Genomic DNA, 20996 nt, shown 5'->3' on the forward strand with positions numbered 1-20996 from the left:
GGCTCAGTTGGAATCACTTTCATCTCTTGTATAGTTATCATGGCCAATGGCCAGTAAGATAGAGTATTATTATTGTCACACCCTGGCCACATGAGGAAATTGCTTTTGTTTCTTTAAGCCTTGGTTTTACTTTTTTAATTATATAATGAACTTAATTGCTCTTACCACCCAACCTGAGAACCATAACAATGACAGTAACGTACATCCACTTTTGTGCTTCTCTGCTAGTTCATCTCCTACTTCCCTCTACCTAAGAAGACACTACTTGATTTTTATTTTATCATTTCCTTATGTTTTCAAGTAAGTTTTATCTCATACTTATATATTACATATTACAGGATTATACTATTAATGAGATCAAACCTCTCTGTATACATTTATTAGCCATATGTATTTTTTATCATTTGCGAGATGACTTTTATTGACTTTGCCCATTTTTCTGTTCATGTTCTTTGTTGTTTTTGTATTGATTGATCTATGGGAGTTTTATTTACATTGTGAGTAGCAGGTCTATGACAGCTATGTGTTGCAAATGTCTTCTCTCAGTTAGTAGGTTGTCTTTTCACTATATTTAAGGTATATGTTAATGAAAGTTCATTGTTAATATATTTAAAATAATCATTATTTTACTTTATGGTTAGTATTTTATATGTTTTCATTAAAAAATCTTTCATCTTCCTTAAGGTGATAGTTATTTAAAGTTCACACAAATAGTACTAATGTTTGCTTTTGGCATCAAACCACTTAATTCACATGGAGTTTATTTTTTGTATATAGTTTGAGGTAGAGATTTATTTTATTTTTTCCATGTGGATAACTCCAGATCTATTTATTGAATACTTCATCCTTTCATCACAGATCTTCCCCAACATCAGTGTTAAATTGCAAAGTTTCCAGTACGTATGATATACCTAGTATTTAACTACTTGCCAATAAATAATTTGAAAACTTTCCTCCAAACATATAAAAGCTGGATTCACTTTCTATATATGAGGCACTTGCAATAAATGAGAACATTTCAACAGTTCATTCAAGTGGAAAAAGAAAGGTTCTGTATGTAGTTTCCACTCCATCATTTATCAGGTAGGTTTGTGCTTCATAAGGTAAAGTCATGTGAAAGGAGTGATCGAGACAGTGAATTTTCTTTGTGTTTGTGCTGCTAACCACAGTCAGTTCATGAAATATTTGGAAGAAGATAAACAAGATAAGATATTTAATTTTGTTGAATGCTGTCAGATGGCTAGGTCATAAAACTTGCTAAAGAAATTCACTGAGCATGGACTTTGGAATTAAAAGAGCTCTAATGGGCTAAAATTTTTGGATCCCCATGGTTCATAATATTGTACTTTCTCACTGATGTGACAAGATATCTGACTGCACTAAACTTGAAACTTCAGGGAAAAACAAACGCACTGCTGATACATTCAAGGAAGTATGTATTTGAACTTGAACTGACCATGAATTTAGCAAATATTATCGGAAGATTGTATGCATTTAATATTACAGAATGGCACTAAACTCATTTTTTAAATGTAGAGCTATTTGTAGAAAGAAAGTTGCAATTTTGAAAGAGAGGCAGGAGTTTTAATAAATATAGGTCATGCTTCAAATTTCTTTAGCTAAGAAAGAAAATAAAGTTAAAAGACAAATGCAGAAAGGTATGTATAGCATATATTTGCAATTCATGATATACAACATGTTCATATTTTAATATACTAAGACCACCTATATATCAACATGATAAAACATCAATAGAAAAAAATGGACAAAAGATATGAAAGGGCAATTCACAGTAGAAGAAATACAAATGGCAAACATGAACATGAAAGTATATTTAATCTTACTAGTAAGAAAAGAAGGCTTTTGAAATATGAAGTGTCATTTTCTTCAATTGGAATAGCTAAAATTTAAAAGGTTGACAAATTCCAGTGTAGCTGAGAGTAGAGATAAATAGGACCTCTCATGAATCATTGATAGGAGTGGAAATTAGTATAACCTTTAAATAGGGCAGTTTTGGCAATACTTACAATGCACATACACTCTGATTCAATAATCCCATTGAGAGACAATTCTCCCGTCCATGGGTCTCTTGCATTACTACCTATCTTGACAGCGAGGCACTGACAATTCTTTGTTCTTGACCACTTTTCCAAGGATGTTTATGTAGTGGAAGATGGAGGTATTGCCTCCCTCTAGTATAAAGGGACAGATTTTCTTACAACTTGAGATGACAGAGATAGTGTCTCACCCCAGAGCAAACAGGAAGCATGATTACTGCCCATTATAAGATTCAGGTTCCCTAAACTCTGGGTTTTTCTCCTATAATATAATTCACTATGCATGAAAGTGTCACCTGGTCCTCTTTCAGTCACTCTGGAAATTAGTACTTAAGGAATTGGTACACGCACGTACACACACACACACACACACACAATGCTGATACTCTGGGCTACTGTGAATGTTGTGAATAGTAAACTGTTCTCTATCTTTCACCAGGGAATTTTATGTCTTCTACCAACATCCATGAAACTGTGGGAGGCTAACATGTTTCCTTTGCAAATAAGGCAAAATCTCAGATTCTTCACCCTTATTGCTAGTTATTACTTTGAGAACTTTATCTTGATATGGTACTAGCACAATAATTCAAAGATAATTGCAAAAATATGTTTATGGCACTAATACTTCTATTGCAGAAAAACTGAAAACAACCTAAATGTCCATGAAAATTGCTCATTAAATAAGTCATTACCTGCCAATGATAGAATACTGTGAAGCCATAAAAAATGAATATATCGTCCTATAGTTATTGAACATGATAGATATCTGTGACAAGATATTAACTATAAAATCAAGTTATTGAACAGTGTAGTATAGTTCTATTTTTGTTAGTAAATTAATTTCTTTCTGGCTTCCTCTCTTTCACACACACACAAACACACACACACACACACACACACACACGTCCCACACGCATTTCAAGATAGATATATATCAATATGTTAGTAATGGTTAACTCAGAATAGTGGATTATAGAATGATTTTAAGTTTTTCTGCTTATCTATATTTTCTGATTTTCCTAAAATTATCATGTGTTATTTGTACATTTAAAAAATAAATGATTCATGCTAAAAAAATTCTGCAGCTGCCTTTGGAATTCATATCTCAGGAAGTATCTGAATTATCACACATCTGACCCATTAGTGAAGCTCATTTCAAAGAGGAACTGATTGAGCTGAAAGCAAACTACACCCACTACATAGGCATAATATCTGTCAAATTTTGGAGAGGAAAATATAATTGCACAAATAATTCTAAAACTTCTGGCTATGTGACCAAACTCTGGGCTATGTCTGGGTCCATCTGGCTCTATGAAAGCATATTTTCCTTTATGTAACTTCTGAAATCACTATTAAGGCCACTAGAGATGGAAAGCTGGAGTTACTGCTTTGAGTAAATTTACCCTTGGTTCCAGAATAAGTCCTCTGATCACAGCAATATTCTCATTGATTTGTAACTGTGCATTTTGTATAAACACAATTTTTAAAAAATAATTTAACTGATTTTTATCACTGCTTAAATGCATGTTTTAAAATATGGAAGGTTATACTTCACCATGATCTTTATATATAAATTACATAAATATGTCTTTCTTTTTTCCTCACTTTAAATCCTCAAGCTCACAAAAGTAATAGAATATATAAATATACTATTCTCTAGTATTATCAAAATGCTTAGTTTTTCAAACTTAACATTCTATTTCATACTTCCTTTTCTGTTCTCATGTTATTCCTTTTGCTTACAGTCCCTCCACCACCCTTTTTAACCTAGATAACTGGTTAATGTTTAAGACTCAGTTTAGCCATCATCCCTTCCAAGAAATTCACCTCAAATTCCAACATGTGATCTGCTCTCCTCACTGATACCATGACACCCATCATATATTTGTGTTTACTTCTTGAACAAACATTTATATATAAAACAATGTACTTGATGATCAGGATATAAGTGAGCAACATTAGTCATGACTCTTACCTTCATGGGACTTATGGTTTATCTTGTCAGTTACCACATTAAAATAAAATTCACTATTTTATCTTTCTACCCTTTCTAAGTTATAAGCTCCTTAATACCAAGGCCTGTGTATATTCATATCAGTCCCCTTAGGGACTAGCACTATCCTGAAATATAATAGGCACACAACTTGTGTTTGTTGAACTAAACTGTCTGATTATTCCAAAGACAAAAATGTCATTTTTCCAAATCATCAGTGCCTTGACTCTCTTATGTGATCTGTCCCTACTCTCTGCTACGGATTTTTATAAGGATAAGAGATCCTATCCCATTAGGATAAGTGGGGAGTGGGAGATGTTGGAGGAAAAGAAGGTATAACTCAGAAATATAAAGAGGTTAACTCAAAACTGTAGCACGTTTTCTACTTGCTCTTCCTGCATTCTCACCACATTAACTCTATACTATCATGTATTCTCAAATCATGTCTTCTCTCACATAGACGAATTAAAGAAAACTATGTGTGTGTGTGTGTGTGTGTGTGTGTGAGAGAGAGAGAGAGAGAGAGAGATAAATTGGACATCTTCCTAAATTCTGATGTAGACGAGCCTTACATATGAATCAATGAGTCAGCATTAAGTAGCACTCATAACACACCTGAGATGCCAAAAATGATACAGGCACCCAATCCACTAAATGAAATCGGGTCAATATTAGGATCAATTTGGCATTTTCACTTGACTTCCATTGTCCTCAAAACTCAGTTTCAATCCATTCACCCCATTCACCTGCGTTTTTATGTTCCAAATGACTGGCTTCCACATTATCACACATGAGAGCTCTTGGGATGGTATTTTACCAATTCACTTTTGGAAACTAAAATAGCAATGGCTAAGGTAGTCAATGAAAGATAATACTGTATGTTACCTAGTAGTATTAGATGCAGTGAGATCCAGGAAGTTGTCACTCTGTGTTAGAGTGACAAAAACGCAAGGAACTGGTCTGACCTACTGACATGACAATTATTTAGATATAATTGTTCAGATGATTTACAGAACTAATACCCTGAGTAGATCTTTATTATTTAACCCTTCCATACTCCATTCCTTGCTTCACCCAGCTCCCTCTCCCTATTGCTTACCCTCACCCTCCCCCTCTCCCAACACACACACACACACACACACACATTTTCACAATCTACAAATATTTCTCTACTCAAGAAGATAGTGTGGCTCCTGTATTTATCTTCACCTGCTTCTTCTCTATTATTTGCATAATAAAAAAATAAATGTTAAATGTTTTTTAAAATGTGTTTCTTGTCCATTTTACTTTAGTGTTAATCACATTTTCCACTTTCCTCTTGTGTTATGAAGGAAAATTAAGCTCCCTCCTCCAAACTGTAGCCACTGTTGTTTCTCAGCCTTTTGGCTGAAATCATGTGCAAATTGTACCACCTACAAGATTATCTTTGCCACAACAGGTAAGCACCTTTAAATTCTATTCTTGTACCAATTAATTCTTATAATAAATAGAGGTGACTCAGTCTCTGTAATGCGAATAAAGTAACTCTATTATGCCCTATAGCTATGCATCTTTATTTTAAAGAGCTGAAATTAAAATAAAGCACAGTTAACTAAATTGTATTTCAATCTCATAATTATTAGAACTTTAATCAAATTACTTGGTCATTTTTTCTCTCTTTGCCAATATTGTAAAAGCTATTTTGTAGAATATGTTTCAGCCTACTTTCCAGCAACTTAAAGAAAAGATGAAATAGGTACTTGTCCTCTGGAAGCTCTGTAGCTACCTGTGTGTATTTTTTATGCTATGCAAAAATGAGCTCATTTTTTCTATGAATGGGCTAGGTAAATGCAGGTAGATTTGACATTTTAAGATTGTCATCAATTCTGAGACTTGTTACCTTCCTTGTTCCTTTAAGAAATCAATTTCATTCAAGGTCCTTTTCCCCCTAGAATTTGGCACTGGGGTTTCAAATGTATGCTATCAAAGGCAAGATTAAATAGGATTGTATCAAGTTGACCAAGGTTCATGCTAGGAACCATTTCAGATATTGTCTAACATTGAAAATACAATTCTTCAATTATACTTCCCAGACAAAATTAAATTACCTTGAATACATGGTCTAGTTGGCTTACTCCTGATAATACAATGCTAAATGATGAAATCCATCCTTATAGCAAAGTGGATCTGATAAAACATTTAATATATCATAAAAAGGAAGAAAGGTAAATGAAAAGCAAAAGACCCAGGAACTAGTAAAATGTGATCTCTCAAACAGTTTGCCGTCTAAAGAACCTCACTTACCCCTTCTACGCTAATGGATGTAATTACGTGTTGACTTGTTGAATTTATCTTTCACTTACCTATTATTAATATAACACATTTATTTGGGCTCTTTGCTACTTTTAAGGCTTTCAGGTTTCTGAAGTATTATTTTCTTCATGCCTATTGAAGTTTAATGAATTCTGAGTACCTCACTTATTGTAGGTAGGCTCTGAATGGACTCATATTCTGCTTTGTTATGAGATTTCCATGAGGTGGGGTGGATTTCAACAATTCAGTGTGAACATTCTGAATCATCATTTTTTAAATTTATCATTATTATTTTGGAGATGGAGTCTCGCTCTGTTGCCCAGGCTGGAGTGCAGTAGCGCGATCCCGGCTCACCGCAACCTCCGCCTCCTGGGTTCAAGCAATTCTCCTGTCTGAGCCTCCCGAGCAGCTCGGACTACAGGTGCACGCCACCATGCCCGGCTAAGTTTTTGTATTTTAGTAGAGACGAAGTTTCACCGTGTTGCCCAGGCTGGTTTCAAACTCCTGAGCGCAGGCAATCCACCTGCCTCGGCCTACCAAAACGCTGGGATTTCAGGCGTGAGCCACCACACCCAGCCTGAATCATCATTTTTAAAATAACAAAAAGTAGCACAAATCCACTGAAGAAAATTTAGAAAATACAGAAAATCTAAAAGGGGAAAAAAAAAACTAAAAATTACTTGAAATCTCACCATGAATTCATTAAATAAACATTGTTAAAAATTGTGTGTCTTTAGTATTTTCTATACATGTATGTGTGCATAAATATCATAAAATCACATTCAAATTCTTTGTTTTATATCCTGCTTTATGTAAAATTAAATTATATACATTTCTCATGTCATTACATATTATTTTAATACATGCTTCTTGATGGTGTCAATATTCCATCATTTGAATGCATCATAATTTATTTAAATAATCCCTCATCTTTGACTATTTAGACTGATTTCAAATGCTTGTTATTAAAATAATGTTGTGGTCAGCATCCTTTTAAATATGTCTTTCTATGCATCTCTGATTGTTTCTTTAGAATAAATTCCAATATGTGGAATTACTAGGTCACAGAGTATAAAGCCATTTAAGGATTTTTGTATACATATCGCTACAAACTCTGAATAAACTAGGTATCGATGGAACATATCTCAAAATAATAAGAGCTAATTATGATGAACCCACAGCCAATATCGTACTGAATGGGCAAAACTTGGAAGCATTCCCTTTGAAAACCAGCACAAGACAAGGATGCCCTCTCTCACCACTCCTATTCAACATGGTATTGCAAGTTCTGGCCAGGGCAATCAGGCAAGAGGAAGAAATAAAGGGTATTCAAATAGGAAAAGAGGAAGTCAAATTGTCTCTGTTTGCAGATGACATGATTGTATATTTAGAAAAACATCGTCTCAGCCCAAAATCTCCTTAAGCTGATAAGCAACTTCAGCAAAGTCTCAGGATACAAAATCAAAGTGCAAAAATCACAAGCATTCCTATACATCAATAATAGACAAACAGAGAGCCAAATCATGAGTGAACTCCCATTCACAGTTGCTACAAAGAGAATAAAATACCTAGGAATACTACTTACAAGGGATGTGAAGGACCTCCTCAAGGGGAACTACAAACCACTGCTCAAGGAAATAAGAAAGGACACAAACAAATGGAAAAACTTTCCATGCTCATGGATAGGAAGAATCAATATTGTGAAAATGGCCATACTGCCCAAAGTAATTTATAAATTCAGTGGTATCCCGATCAAGCCACCATTGACTTTCTTCACAGAATTAGAAAAAACTACTGTAAATTTCATACGAAACAAAAAAAAGAGCCCGTATAGCCAAGACAATCATAAGTAAAAAGAACAAAGCTGGAGGCATCATGCTACCTGACTTCAAACTATACTACAAGGCTACAGTAATCAAAACAGCATGATACTGGTACCAAAACAGATATATAGACCAATGGAACAGAAAATAGGCCTCAGAAATAGTGCCACACATCTACAGCCATCTGATCTTTGAAAAACATGACAAAAACAAGCAATGGGGAAAAAATTTTCTATTTAATAAATGGTATTGGGAAAACTGGTGAGCCATATGCAGGAAACTGAAAATAGACCCCTTCCTTACACCTTATACAAAAATTAACTCAAGATGGATTAAAGACTTAAATATAAAACCTAAAACCATAAAAACCCTAGAAGAAAACCTAGGCAATACCCCTCAGGACATAGGCATGGGCAAAGACTTGATGACTAAAACACCCAGAGCAATGGCAACAAAAGACAAAATTGACAAATGGGACATAATTAAACTAAAGAGCTTCTGCACAGCAAAAGGAACAATCTTCAGAGTGAACAGGCAACCTACAGAATGGGAGAAAATGTTTGCAATTTATCCATCTGACAAAGGGCTAATATCTAGAATCTACAAAGAACTTAAACACATTTACAAGAAAAAAAACAAGCAACCCCATCAAAAAGTGGGCGAAGGATATGAACATACACTTCTCAAAAGAAGACATTTATGTGGCCAACAAACATATGAAAAAAAGCTCATCATCACTGGTCATTAGAGAAATGCAAATCAAAACCACAATGAGATACCATTTCATGCCAGTTAGAATGGCAATCATTAAAAAGTCAGGTTACAACAGATGCTGGAGTGGGTGTGGAGAAATAGGAATGGTTTTACACTGTTGGTGGGAGTCTAAATTAGTTCAACCATTGTGGAAGACAGTGTGGCAATTCCTCAAGGATCTAGAACCAGAAATACCATTTGACTCAGCAATCTCATTACTGGGTATATACCCAAAGGATTATAAATCATTCTACCATAAAGACACATGCACATGTATGTTTATTGCAGCACTATTCACAATAGCAAAGACTTGGAACCAACCCAAATGCCCATTAATTATTGACTGGATAAAGAAAATGTAGTGCATATACACCATAGAATACTATGCAGCCATAAAAAATGATGAGTTCACGTCCTTTGCAGGGACGTGGATGAAGCTGGAAACCATCGTTCTCAGCCGACTAACACAGGAACAGAAAACCAAACACTGCATATTCTCACTCATAAGTGGGAGTTGAACAATGAGAACACATGGACACAGGAAGGGAAACATCACACACAGGGGCCTGTCAGGGGATGGGGGACTAGGGGATGGATAGCATTAGGAGAAATACCTAGTGTAGATTATGGGTTGATGGGTGCAGCAAACCACCATGGCACGTGTATACCTATGTAACAAGCCTGTACCTTCTGCACATGTATCACAGAACTTAAAGTATAATAAAAAGACAGATGATAGATAGATAGATAGATAGATAGATAGGTGATTTGTCAAAGTTTTGTCTAGTTTTATTATCTTCACAGATTATTAAGCAAGATTGTGGAGAATATATGTAAAAGTATTGACAGTGGTAAGGGAGAGTAGTCCAGATAATTTGAAATGGATAAGCCAAGTACCTTCACAAACTGTGATTACACTAAGGAAGCTTGTAGGTAAAAATGACTTTGGAATTATTTATCCTGATAGCGACTGCACTTGGTGTGGGCGGAGAAAACCCCTTTGGTACTGTCTGTATTAAAAGATACTTTGACAGGCTATTACCAATAAGGTGTTTTGCTGAAAATTTAGATAAATTAGACAGTTAGATGTGTGTTAATTGTACTCTCATATTCGAAAGAGCAAGATTTACTATAGCCAAGATCCTCATAGAGAACGAATGTAAATGATGGCATGATTTTTAACCTTAATATTATTGTAAATAATGGACATCTTTCTTAAAATACCTAGGCTTAACCACTGACTTGCATTAGAAATCATATTTTAAAAGATGATATATACATAGAATAAGATTAATAAATATAAACTTTTACCTAAGATTCCTTTCTCAGTAATTATGAACCAATATGCTAATTATTAATCTTTGTTCACTTTGTCCCTAACCTCAGGATTAATGAGAATACTGCTTGAGGATCAAAAATTTTCTACTGCAACATTACAACTCTTTGTCCCATTTAAAATGAAAATTCTTGCAAATACCACTTGATATGTTTTCCTAAAGAATAACTGTCTTTAACAAAAGATCAAACTGCTTCCAAATCTTATCAAAGAGGAGGCATGAAGTTATCTTTCCAGCATCCCCAATTATGATTATTAATTACTACAATTTTCCTCTATCATTGTAAAACTCTGTGCAAATCTCTTTGCTTGCATGGCATTCTTTCATTCAAAGGACTGTAATTTTCCCTTCCTCAGTACTAATTATTTGCCCTTTGAAAAAATATTTTATTTATACTTACATATTTTGAATCAAACTATTTCCTACCAACACAACACACAATATCACAAACATAAAACTTCAGACTATTTTTTAAAAGTTTGATGTTCAAAACCAAGTTTACCGTAGCTTACTTTAAAAATCACATTTATACACAACTTAAATTTTGAACTCTTGTCGGACCTATAATAGTTTCAACACAGCATGTTGAAAAACAACAGCATGAACAAGAAATTTCAGGGCACCCAGAAAGTGTAGGTACATCTTAATAGCCATCTGTCTATCCTTCTAAATCAAATAAAGCACACATATTTATCTGTTCACTCTTCCTCAATACGGTGGGAGATACTTTATGAGTAGAGATAAGCAGTATTTAGCTATGTTTATCTTTTCACTTAAGGGTAGAAGATGAGAGTGAATTGGCTGTGAAAGCAAATATTGTTTCATTAGGTTATACAAGATTGCTAAAAGTCACCTGAATAAGTGAGGGCACTACAGTTAAAGCACCAAATCTCCTATGATCTTTGACCAGTAGTATTTTTTTTTAACAGTGTGTCATCACAGTGTAAAATATGAGTTAATCTTGATCAAAAAGCACTCACTAATGATACAAAAGTTCTGATACATCACGTATGGGATGCTCTAATAGGTACATCACATCAATTCAAAATGGAGCTTGTTGGTGGTAAAAATATGATTAACGAAATGCACCAACACTCAACAGAACTGAGATGTTTAGCTACTGTAAAGATCTAAACCATCACTGATGCTTTAGTTCCAGTATTTATCCCACAATCCAGAGAAGATATGGTTCTCATTTTTGAGTGAGTTGTGGTGACCATGAGGCTATATAGTAACTTTGGAGTCAGCCCAGAGGATTCCCTGAGTCCTCCAAACCTAGTGTTTGCTTGCACTGATTCTTAAGTGCCACAACCTGTCTCCAGGAATCTAAAACTACAACATCCAGAAGAAAGCCAAGTTGAACAAGAAACTGTGGATCTTCTTTACTCTAGGCCAACAGTGGTAGACAGAGGCAAATCCATTTAATAGATACTTGCTAAGTACCTATGATGTCCCAGGTACTGTTCTAGCACTGTAGACAAAAGATATAAACAAAACAGGCAAGATCCTTGGCCTATGAAACTTACATTCTGATTCTGCACTGATGCTCTATAATTGAAAAATAATAGGTAAAAAATATCACAGCAAATGTTATCATTTCATTGTTTGTTTTCTGAGAAGACGGCTCTTCTGGAATGCAATTTAAAGATGGGAAGACATGATATAATCAGCAAAAAAAGGGCAATTTCAAAGTTCTGAGACAATTTAAATAAAAGGCTCTTTTTGGAAAAAAAAGTAAAGGGAGTGAATGGAAAGAAGCTTTGTTTCATAGGACAAAAATAAAATAACGTGGAATGTAGTAGAAGAAATAAGAAAGGTCTGTGTCAATTTTCTAAAGCTAATTAGTATTATAATTATTGAGCACCTATTCTGTGCCAGGCACTATGTTAAGGATTCAACAGTAAACAAAACATACTTTGCTGTCTCCAGTCTGTAATCAACATGAAGTATGTTGAGCATAATGATGGAGGTGATGGGGCCTATGGGAGTATACATTAGATTTTGAACAAGTCTGAAGGGTAAAGGGAACCTTTTTGAGAGAGTAATATCTATCTGAGATTTGAAGAATGGGTTGGGCAAGGAGAGAAGGTGAAAGAAAGAGTGTTTCAAGCCGAATGTATAGCAAATGTGAAGGCCTAAACTACGAGAAAGGGCATGGCATGTTCCAGGGACAGAAAGATCAGAGTGCCTGGAGGTTGGAAAATCAGATTGTGCAGACTCTAAAAATAAGGTGATGATTTTGGATGTTATCCACTGAAGGGAATTAGTCATGTGAATGTTATTGCATTTACATTTTTTGAAAAACGATCTTTCTGTCTAGTGTGAAGAATGGACTGGAAAAGAAAATGATATGATAGAAGCTCTGAGAAGACCTACTTTTAAATTCCATATCAAAGAACATCATATCTGAATTCTCTAATATTGGTGGAAAGGAGAACATTAATGGAATTTAGAATTATGAGAGTTACATCAAAGTTGCTTTAGATACCCTCCCCACCCCTGTGATTCTTGAAGGGTAAGATTGGGATACACCTGGAGCCCTCTCTCTTATATCGGATTTGAGGGTTCTTGTTCCTGGGGCCCAACTCCTTAATCCAAAATACATTAATCTACTTCTGAACTAAGAAATTGAGGAGACAAGATGTAAGTCACTGTCAAAATTTATTAATTCATTCAATTAATAAAGGTGTCATTCCAGTTATTAAAGATATACCTGTGAACAAGGCAACAAGGTCCCGCTTTCCCTGGACTTATATTCTAGTGAGGGGAGACAAATAAAAAGTATACAATTCCAGATAGAGATAAGTGCTATGTGTATAGTCCTAAGAAGTTAACAGAAAATTGGAAAATGGGCTTAGCTGGCAGGAACAGAAACAAGGGTAGAGGGGAGTAAATGTTATGAGAAATTAGGCCAACCGCAAATGGCTCACTAGCTCCCAAGCATCCTATTACAAGCACCTGGCTCACAGCCCACCTGCATCCAAGCAGTCTGTCTTCAAGCATTCAGCCTAAGCAGCACCACCTTATAAAACTCCCCTCCAGCCCGTGCCTCTTGGCAGACAGCCTTCTTTCTTCTGTCTTGCCTTTTGCTCCCTTGCAATGTATCTCCTCCTTTCCTCTAAATAAATCTGCCTTTCTAAACTCATTACTGTCTTGGTAAATCCCTTTACCATCCATGCACTACCTTCAGATAGTCATTGACCATGACATTATGAAGAAGTACTTAATATGAAGAAATAAGCAATAGAGAGTGACTGCCAATGATAGATGGTATTGGATAAACATGTGTTTAGATTCAGTGGTCAGGCAAAGAATCTCTATGGCAATAATACTTGAGCTGTGATCTGGATGAAAAGAACATTATCCTAGATCAGAGGGCATAGTTTTCTAGGGAGGAAGAATGAAAAGTGAAAGGATCCCTAGGAGAGAATAAGTTGGATGTGTTTGAGGGTCAGAAAAGTCAACATGGCAGGAGCTTTACAAGGAGAAAAATGGCAGAGTATGAGGTTAAACAGGTATATAGTGGGAACCAGATAATGTCAGATAATGTAAAGCATTCTAGATAATTGTAAGTATTGGGGGCCAATTATAAGTATGATGGGAAACCCCAACAACTCAATACTAATTAAGCACAATCCTAAATGTACAGATTACATCCACCTAATAGAGCATCATCCACTCTTAACCTGGAATATCTAGCTGATACCTATATCTAGGCAAATTAAGGTCTCTATGAACAATAAAGAGATCAATTATTGCCACTTGTGAGTTTAATTTAGCAATAGTGAGAAGTGTGTAATAGGGTTTGGACTGAACTTACACTGACTTCACATAAACTCAAAGAGTAATCAGAGAGTAGCTATATATACAATCATTTAAAAGCTTGAACTTATGGCTTGGAAATACTTAACAGGCTTCACTTCAGGAAATCCTTGAGAGTAATCACCAGTAGAGTGAGCAAAGGCATTTGTCTATCAAACGGTGAAATTTCAAAATTATCAAGAATCGGTCTTTAAATTGTTTCCAGATTTTTGGGCATAAAATTATGACTGTTCAATATGTTTTCTGTACAAAGATAAGACAGCCTATGAGTTTTCATAGCAAAGGCAAATATTATCAAAAAATGAATTCTTAAGAGCTTATTTTGCTTCTGAATCAATAAGAAAAAGAACTCTTTTCTTTTGGTTAAAAAGAGTTTGTGACTATAAGCGTCTATATTAAATCATTTTCTTTCTTGAGAGTAATAATAGAGTGAGTAAGCCAGAATAGAAACAAGTAAAAACCAGAATTTCTTGCAGTTGGAATTGCCATGGCTCTATCTTACATTCTTCAGAAAGTTCACTTCTGTTTAGTCAGTCATTTAAATGCTCTTTTCCTTACTTGTCTTGATTCTTTTCCATAATGATTATCTTTCATGTGACTGTTAAGCTTCTGCATTGTGACAGTCTAAACTAGTGTTTTGATAGTTCCCCCTTTCAAAGAAGGCAAAAAGAAGACAACTGTCAAATACATGACAGGAGCAATACAAACTGGGGATACCGTGCCCCATTAAACCCAGAAGAGGTTCCATCATATTACCTGATTACTAGTTAATAAGAACTTTTGAAACAACTCATTTGGTAGGCTTTGGGACTGCTTAAACTGGGAGGTTTTAGTTTGTCCAATATATGCACATATCAGGTACTCAACAAATGCTTGAGTATATAAGCATAAATATGTGCTTATATAAAATAATTAAGTAATAGGAGATTAAGGTAAATGAGGTTCAACAATGTTAACTAATTTGTCCAATTTTCACAATTAGTACACTTTGGAGCTATAATTTCAGCCCAAGTCTAATTCCAAAATGCATGCTATCTCCACTACATCATTGATTATCAAATGAGTAAGTGAATAAATGAACAAAACAGAATTTCATAAATGAAAGAATATTTATGACTAGAAATAAAGCGTTTTCTTTTATAAGTAAAGTTCAGGTGCTCTATTTGACAAACTTAGACGTTTAATATATCACAAGCTAAGCACACAAATTACAAGGATTATCTTACATTATAAAAAACTCTTGCTCATAACTAAATTTCTGTCAAAAATCAACTTATGCTTCTGTCATTTTTATATCCAAATTAAAAAGAAATATAGAAAGTCTCTATTTCTTCCCGATTTAATCTAGCAGAGTTGTATATTTCCAGAAATTTATCCACCTCTTCTAGACTTCTAGATTTTCTAGTTTGTGCATGTAAAAGTGTTCATAGGAGCCTTGAATGATCCTTTGTATTTCTGTGGTATAAATTTTAATAATTTCTGTTAATTACAAATAAATGTAATTGAGTTTATTTGAATCTTCTCTCTTCTTTTCTTGGATAATCTTGCTAATGGTGTATCAATTTTGTTTACCTTTTCAAAGAACTAGCTTTTTGTTTTCTTTACCTTTTGTATTGTTTTTGTTTGTTTGTTCGTTTCAATTCCATTTAATTCTGCTCTGATCTTTGTTATTTATTTTCTTCTTCTGGGTTTGAGTTTGGTTTGTTCTTGTTTCTCTAGTTCCTTGATGTGTGACATTAGGTTGTCTATTTGTGCTCTTTCGGACACTTTGATTTAGGCATTTAATCCTGTGAACTTTCCTCTTGATACCATTTTTGCTGTATCCCAGAGGTTTTGATAGGTTGTGCTAATATTATTGTTCAGCTCAAAGAATTTTTTTAGATTTCCATCTTGATTTCATTTGTAACCCAAAAATCATTCAAGAACAGGTTATTTTATTTCCATGTATTTGTATAGTTTTGAGGGTTTCTTTTGGAGTTAATTTCCAGTTTTATTCTACCGTGGAATAAAATTAACACTTGATATAGTTTCCAGTTTTATTCCATTGTGGTCTGAAATGATACTTGATATAATTTTGATTTTCTTAAATATATTAAGACTTGTTTTGTGGCCTATCGTATTGTATATCTTGGAGGATGTTCCGTGTGCTGGTGAAAAGAATGTATATTCTGCACTTGTTGGGTAGAATGTTCTATAAATATCTGTTAAGTCCATTTGTTCTAGGGTATAGTTTAAGCCCATTGTTTCTTTGTTGACTTTCTGTCTTGACTACCTGTCTAGTGCTGTCAGTGGACTATTGGAGTCTCCCACTATTATTATGTTGCTGTCTATCTCATTTCTTAGGTCTAGAAGTAATTGTTTAATGAATTTGGGAGCTCCCGAGTTAGGTGCATATATTTTTAGGATGGTTATATTTTCCTGTTGGGCTAATCCTTTTATCATTATACAATGTCTGTCTTTGTCCTTTTTTACTGTTGTTGCTTTAAAGTCTATTTTTTTTTTTCGAATATAAGAATAGCTACTCCTGCATGCTTTTGGTTTTCATTTGGGTGGAATATCTTTTTCCACTCCTTTACCTTAAGTTTATGTGAGTCCTTATGTGTTAGGTGGGTCTCCAGAAGTTAGCAGATACTTTCTTGGTGGACTTTTATCCATTCTGCCAGTCTGTGTCTTTAAAATGGGGTGCTTAGGTCATATACATTCAACGTTAGTATTGAGATGTGAGGCACTGTTCTATTCATCATGTTAGTTGTTGCCTAAATACCTTGGTTTTTTTTTTTCATTGTGTTATTGTTTTATAGGCCCTGTGAGTTTTATGCTTTAAGGAGCTTCTATTTTGGTGTATTTTGAGGTTTTGCTTACAGATTTAGAAGTCTTTTTAGCATTTCTTGTAGTGCCAGTTTGGTAGTCCATTTGTAGCTACTTGGATGGAGTTGGAGACAATTATTCTAAGTGAAGTAACTCAGGAATGGAAAGCCAAATATCTTATGTTCTCACTTATAAGTGAGAACTAAACTATGAGGATGCAAAGGCATAAGAATGATACAATGGACTTTGGGGACTCAGGGACAAGGATGGGAGTGGGGTAAGGGACAAAAGCCTATACCTTGGGCACAGTGTCCACTGCTTGGTTGATGGCATCACCAAAATCTCAGAAATCACCACGAAAGAACTCCACGTAACCAAAAACCACCTGTTCCCTAAAAGCTATTGAATTAATTTTTTAAAAAAGGAAGGGTGCAAAACAAAGACACAAGTGATCAGAATAAATTTTTAAAGTCTGCTGTTAGCCATTGCTTCAAAACACGCAGAACATAGTATATTTGATTGTATATTGCAAACTATACAGATATTTCTACAAATATACAGTTTCATAAAACTTTGTCATACTATTCACTATTTGAGCATAATACTTTTCATTCATGTGCATCTTCATATATAATATATTCAATTAGATTTGCAGTTGATGTTTTACAAGTTTAATTGTCTGTGTCTATACTTGATTGTTTATCTTTGTGTCCTGTCATAATTTCAAATGATTGGGGACTGATCAAAGAGTACGATATGACCACAGGTACAGTAAAACAAACATTGGGTGACATTTACACAGGGCTGCAAGAGGGAGGAACTCCCTCACAGCAGGAGTCTCTCTACAGACTGTGGTGAAGGGGGCTGTCTCATCAGAAGGGGAGAAGAACAAGGAACTCCCAGGGGAGAAGGGGATCAGGGAGTGGGCTTATGTGTTTAGGTTATATTACTCAGAAACATGGTGGGGAGTTACTGGGTCAGAGACTCCTAAGGACCCACCGCAGCTTGGAGTTTTATAACCAGAAGGCTCTATCTTATCACTGGTGAGCACATGTGGGGTAAGGTTTCATAGGGTATGCAAATAAGGTGGGCTCCAAATTGCTAAAAATCTGCTTTTGGAGATAATTTTTAAAATAGTTGGATGTATAAAAATTTGAATTTGGTGTTGGTGGGCTTATGAGCTAATGGGTTTTATCCTTCAGTGAAGAAATAACATAGGGGCCAATATACAGAGGCCATCTTTGGCTCGTTCTGTCTGTAAAATAATGGTAAAATATTTGTGTATATTCATAGTTGCTACTTATGAGTTTTCATGGTTTCAATTTCAATATCCCTACATATACACATATGTGGCTATTTAGAGAATACAGTCAGATGTAGTCACATTCTCAAAGTCTTCATACCTAAATAAAAAATAAGTGATTCAAACTAAAGGACATCTTTAGTATAGTAAAAATTTCCAGTGATTTGAAAAACATAATTGTATTATTTATGATATAAGCAGTCATGTAAGTTCAGTTTCAAAGACAATGGTTTTGACATGAACCATATATACACACTTATGTATTTAAAGTACAGTTGACCTTTGAACAACATGAGCTTGAACTTCAGGGGTCCACTCATACATTGATTTCTGCATCTGTCACCCCTGAGACAGTAAGACAAAGTTCTTCTCTTCCTCCTCCTCCTCAGCCTACTCAAGATGAGGAGGATGAAGATCTTTATGATAATCTACTTCCACTTAATTAACAGTAAATATATTTTCTTTATGATTTCCTTAATAACATTTTCTTTCCCCTAGCTTCCTTTTTTGTAATAAAACAGTATATAATACATATAACACACAAAATGTGTGTCAATCGACTGTCTATGTTATCAGTAAGGTTATTGGTCAACAATAGGCTATTAGTAGTTAATATTTTGGGAAGTCAAAAGTCATATTTGGATTTCTGACTGTGCAGGAAAGGTCAGTGCTTCTAATTTTCTTTTTTTTTCAGTAGACAATGATGTCGTTTATTTAAAATGTTTACTCCAAGAAATATATATATAAAAAAATAAGACAATTACAGCACTAAACCAGGCACCTTCGACCAAATCACAACCTCCTCTTTGATTCCCCTTCACACTAAGCCTCTTTCAAATTCTTTTTCCTGAGCTGGAAGACCAGTCAGATGCCCGCAGGGTCGCGCCAAGCACGTTCCCAGCCGGACAACTGTGTACCTTTCTCTAGGAGTGCGTGACACCCTTCCCCCACAACTCCTTGTTTTAAAGGATTTAACCTATTAGGAAGCCCATTTTTCAATCTAAGCCAGAAGGAGGTGCGGGACAAGGCAGTCTTCACTTTGAAGGTCCTTTTCCTGCTCCAGTCCCTGGGCTAGGGTTCTAGAAGAGGCTGGCTGCCGGATTTACATGAGGCCACCGAAGATCCGAGTCCAGCTCCGCCCAGGGCGGCTCCTGCAAAGGCTGGGACCTCGGGTGGTGCGTCCTCAACCCTCTCGGTGACCACGACTCAAAGGAGAGACCTCAAGGGTGCCAGGAGCACAGGTGTCTGGGCTGCATTCCAGGAAAGAGACTTCTCCAGGGAAATGGATCAGGCTGTCACATGGAAGCTTGAGTCAGAGATGGTGGTTATGGGGTGATTTGGACAAATTAGGTTAGTTTAGCAAAGCTCTGAAGTAGCAGAAGCTTCTCCCCTGGACTACTGATTGAACACAGAACAAGAGATGTGCGTGGCGTCAGACTAAGTCTTAGAGAGATGCAGGCCAGTCTCCTCCCACAGGGCCTTGGGACTGGCAGGACAGATACTGCTACATGCCCTCCAAGGGCAGGAGTCACGGTAAGGAGCGACTGGGGTGGAAAATAGGGAAAAAAGCAACAACAACTAGATCATTTTTGGCATTTTAACATGGAGACAGTGACAAGTGGTAACAATAGCAAAAGAAAAAAAAAAAAACTTGAAGAGACCAATAATTAACTTTCCCATCCACCCAAGTCTCACACTTAAGTTCTAGTCCCATCTCCCCCATAAGCACCACTGAACTAAATATCTATTTTAAAGCACCCAAACCAGTCCAGACCCTCTGGAAACCAAGAGCCCCAGCCACAGCTGTCGCCTCTCTTGGGTCCGGGCGAGAGGAGGGTTCCGGGAAAGGCACCTCATAACTCAATCAGCGCAGCACACACGGCGGCGGCGAGCTCGGGCACAGGCACTTGACGGGGACGCGGGTGGCAGTCACAGCATCTGTGCTGACACGCGAGGAAGGGGACTCTTCGGTAATCCCAACTATTTGGTACCAGAGCCAAGCAAACGTGACTAAAGGGAGCTGGGTCAGCAGAACGGTACCCCGAGTCTCAGCAACAGGACGGCCCGCGCGAGGCAGGATCCAAGCAGGGGAGAAAAAGAGACCAAAGCACAAGGCGATCGAGGCTGGCACAGAAAAGGCTGATCCTTCTTGCAAGGACTGGAGAATGCATTTGACTGCTGGCTGATCAATCTCTAATTGGCGAGTGCGCGTCACAAGGCTCAGCCCTGGCTCCACAGGGAGCCACGAAGCTGACTTAACTGATACAAATGTTCCCACCTCTGCCCCACCCCCAAGTCCCCATGGTTCCACCATCACCTGATTTTCATTTGGACTTCTTTAACAGCTAAAGTAGATATAAATGGCTAAACACAGATCCCCAATCCCCCACCAGGCGGGACACGGCCAATTCTATAATGTTGCAGCCAGAAGGCTGTGGGCTTACAGGCAGCCAAGGGGAGAAACAGAACCCACACCGGCCCAGGCCGATCTGCAAGAAAAAGTGGGAAAGGAGTGACTCGGATGCTTCCGAAGCACGCGAGCGTGATTTTGGATGGAGGCCGGCGGGCGACTTTGCCTAGCTGCTGCCGGTTCCTGTAAGGGACATTTTTTTCTGAGTAAATGGCGATTCCTCTTTCATGTAGCATCTGCTTGGATCACGATGCTAATTGTAACTGGAAAGGGGTGTTTTGGGGAGTGTATTCAGGAGAGGAAGAAAGAAAAAAAAAAACCTAGATTGCTCAAAGTTTCTGCCTCTTTTATAGGACGTAGAGCACACATTTTTCCCTTAAAAAATATGTTTTTGCTAT

At 36.3% G+C, this 20996-nt stretch overlaps 1 annotated feature.

The window, feature by feature from the left end:
* Positions 20292 to 20906: an enhancer, noted in NCBI's record as "H3K4me1 hESC enhancer chrX:99194631-99195245 (GRCh37/hg19 assembly coordinates)". NCBI's record gives its function as "activates a minimal SCP1, AML or CMV promoter by ChIP-STARR-seq in primed H9 embryonic stem cells {active_cell/tissue: H9 hESC(primed)}" and the evidence as "EXISTENCE:reporter gene assay evidence [ECO:0000049][PMID:30033119]".

This window comes from Homo sapiens, chromosome X (assembly GCF_000001405.40).
Source record: "Homo sapiens chromosome X, GRCh38.p14 Primary Assembly".
Taxonomy (NCBI): Eukaryota; Metazoa; Chordata; class Mammalia; order Primates; family Hominidae; genus Homo; species Homo sapiens.